This window comes from Homo sapiens, chromosome 3, assembly GCF_000001405.40.
Source record: "Homo sapiens chromosome 3, GRCh38.p14 Primary Assembly".
NCBI classification, from domain to species: Eukaryota; Metazoa; Chordata; class Mammalia; order Primates; family Hominidae; genus Homo; species Homo sapiens.
Window position 1 is genome coordinate 121,558,757 of NC_000003.12, and position 3,677 is coordinate 121,562,433.

Genomic DNA, 3,677 nt, shown 5'->3' on the forward strand with positions numbered 1-3,677 from the left:
CAAGACCATCCTGGCTAACACAGTGAAACCCCGTCTATACTAAAAATACCAAAAAAATTAGCCAGGCTTGGTGGTGGGCGCCTGTAGTCCCAGCTACTCAGGAGGCTGAGGCAGGAGAATGGCGTGAACCCAGGAGGCAGAGCTTGCAGTGAGCCAAGATCGCACCACTGCACTCCAGCCTAGGGGACAGAGCGAGAGTCCATGTCAATACATAAATAAATAAATAAATAAATAAATAAATAAATAAATAAATAAAACAAAATAAAATAAAAATCTCTTTCTCTCTCTGCCTCCGTCTTCAAGGGTTTCAATTTCTTTCTTTCCCTCAGTCACTGCTCCGGCTGTTTTGCTGTCTCTCCCTCCTCCTATTTTCTCCTTCTCTGCGTCTGACTTTCTGTTTTTCTATCTCTGAATCTCATTGAATTTTTTCCTTCTTTCACACTTCTAATTTTTGTGACTCATCTCTATATATAGAGTGGGGGTTGTGTACAAAGTCTTTGGAGTCAGATAAGTCTTGAATTAGAACCCGGCTCTGCCACCTCCTGAGTCTAACCTTGGGCACACTGTCATATCCATATAAGCCCCACTTTTCTTACTGATAAGAACATAATCTGGCCGGGCGCGGTGGCTCACGCGGGTAATCCCAGCACTTTGGGAGGCCGAGGTAGGTGGATCACGAGGTCAGGAGTTCGAGACCAGACTGGCCAACATGGTGAAACCCCATCTCTACTAAAGATGCAAAAAATTACCTGGGCATGGTGGCACACGCCTGTAGTCCCAGCTACTCGGGAGGCTGAGGCAGGAGAATTGCTTGAACCCGGGAGGCGGAGCTTGCAGTGAGATGAGATCACACCACTGCACTCCAGCCTGGGCAACAGAGCGAGACTCCGTCTCAAAAAAAAAAAAAAAAAAAAAGACCACCTCACCTGGGGTCACCAAAATGTATGTGGGGATTTCTCCCCAGCAGCAACCAATTCTGCAGCAGATTCTCCAGTGGGCACCAGCTAAGTGTCCTCTAATTGAGTTCAATTCCGACACTACCTGCCTGGAAATAGCATCTGATCCAGCAGGTCAAGAGCTCAGTCCCACAAGGCTGTCCCCACTTCAGATGCCTGTTGCAAGCACAGGTTATGGTCTATGCTTTGACCCACTGGCTATAAATTTGGGTTCCCACAACCCTGTCTTTGGGTATAATTAATTTGCTTGAGTGGCTCACAGAACTCAGAGAAACATGGTTTTGTTTTGTTTTTGAGACAGGGTTCATTCTGTTGCCTAGTCTGGAGTGCAGTGGTGCAATCCTAGCTCACTGCAGCCTGGACCTCCTGGGCTCAAGGGATCCTCCCACCTCAGCTCCTGAGTAACTGGCACTGCAGGCATGTGCCACCTTGCCCAGCTAATTTTTTTTATTTTTTTGTAGAGATGGAGTCTCACTATGTTATCCAGACTGGGCTCAAACCTCTGGCTTCAAGTGATCCTCCCACCTCGGTCTGTCAAAGTGTTGGGATTACAGGCATGCACCACTGCACCTGGTAAACACTTTACTTATGTTTACTGGTTTATTAATAAAGGATATAATAAAAGATACTGAAGAGCCAGATGAAGGGATACCTATGGCAAGGTTTGTGGGAAGGGGTGCAGAGCTTCCATGCCTGCTCTGGGCTCACCACCCTTCAGGAACTTCATCATGTTCAGCTATCCAGACACTCTTCTAAACCCTGTCCTCTTGGGTTTTTATGGAGGTTTCATTATGTAAGCATGATTGACTGGATTATTGGCCATTAGTGACCATCTTAACCTTTAGCCTTCTGTCGTCTCCTTGAAGATTGGAGGGTGGGGCTGAAAGCCCCAATCCTCTAATCATGCCTTGGTCTTTCTGGTGACCAGCCCCACACTGAAGCTACCTAGGGCTGCCAGCTACCAGTCATTGTGTTGACATACAAAACACACGATTATCACTCCAGAGATTCTGACTTTGCGGAGCTCTGTGCCAGGAAATATACATGTGCATATACATTTTACTGTAAATCACAGTATTACAGATGATTTAATGTTCTGATTGCTCCAGTGATATTAATCGCTTTAACCTTGTGAAAGTAATCAGAACTAAAATGGTGTCATTAATGTTAAAAACAAAAACAAAAATCCTGACGAAAAGAGCTGGGGAAGGCCATGAATAGAAGGTCCTCATGCTTATATGCCTGATAACAAAAACTATCACAAAAGATTCTGCCAAAAATACAACCTTGCACAGTGGCCATCGCGATCTTACACAAAAGATACTTCTGGAAGGACATCTGCCTAGCAACTGCCTGTCCAACCTCAGACTGGCATCATCCTTGTTATTGATTTTTGTAGCCGGGGATAATTGTTTCAAAATAATTATGTAATTCTCTTCGTTTCTTCCTTTAAACATCTTTGTCTTCCTCTACCTCCCTGAATATGCCCATAATTTATTATGGCATGTGTATTCCCTTTGCAATGCTCTATTCCCAGATTTATATCTTTTCCTTTTAGAGGGCCTCTTTCCATTTGTTACTTGGGTTGACAACCTCAGAACCACCCCAAAAGGTTAGGTAACATGCCCAGGGTTGGCCGGGCGTGGTGGCTCACGCCTGTAATCCCAGCACTTTGGGATTCCGAGACAGGCGGATCACGAGGTCAGGAGATTGAGACCATCCTGGCTAACATGGTGAAACCCCATCTCTACTAAAAATGCAAAACATTAGCCGGGCGCGGTGGCGGGCGCTAGTCCCAGCTACTCGGGAGGGTAAGGCAGGAGAATGGCGTGAAGCCAGGAGGCGGAGCTTGCAGTGAGCCGAGATTGTGCTACTGCACTCCAGCCTGGGAGACAGAGCGAGACTCTGTCTGAAAAAAAAAAAAAAAAAAATGCCCAAGGCCACACATCTAGTAAATAGTGGAGCCTAGATGCATATATTCTGGCTCCAGGGCCCATTCTCACTGTTTTCTACATTTTCTCACTCTCCTTATCCTTCCTTTTCTGTCCTTCTCCTCATCTTGCAGATACTTTTACTTCTGGGGAAACTGCCTAAGTTTTATTTACATCTTTGCCTTCTTTTAGCTCTTCACGTTTGAACAAGGACACTGGCAGGCAGGAGTTAGGGAGGAGTCTTAGGCCCTGCCAAGCTCAGAGGAGGGCGAGCTGGAGAAGAAGCAACCTGGGGATAAGAAAGAATGAGCCAATCAGACTTTCAGAAACAAGACCAGCTCCTGGAATAAGGGTCTTGTCCCAAGGGCACTAGTCTTTTAGGATGAATAAATGGGTTTACTGGAATGAAGACACAATATCCCCAACAACCATAATCTATGCCACATAGCTGCACAGGATCTTCCCTCAGGGTGGGAGTGGAGATTAAGGGCAGGCCCCTAAGGCTCCTTCCAGACAATTTCCCTCCCTTTCAACACAAGCCATGGGCTTCTACCTCTGCTGACAGTTCTCTCCTGGCTCATTGCTGAAGCTGGGAATCTTTGCTGTCTTCTGGGGTGCTCTCACCTAGGACATTCTCTCCCCTTTGTGCTACAGGGCACTCCTACAGTCTTACCTCTTCACACACTGGCTTCTATCTGCAAGAAAGGAATCTGCATTTCCCACTAGTTAGGAAAACAGAAGGGTAGAGAAAAGAAAGGAGGAGCTGCCTGAGGGCAAAGCTGGGCTTGTC

At 46.3% G+C, this 3,677-nt stretch overlaps 1 annotated feature.

Annotated features, from left to right (window-relative positions):
- Positions 2,266 to 2,963: an enhancer, noted in NCBI's record as "H3K4me1 hESC enhancer chr3:121279869-121280566 (GRCh37/hg19 assembly coordinates)". NCBI's record gives its function as "activates a minimal SCP1, AML or CMV promoter by ChIP-STARR-seq in naive H9 embryonic stem cells {active_cell/tissue: H9 hESC(naive)}" and the evidence as "EXISTENCE:reporter gene assay evidence [ECO:0000049][PMID:30033119]".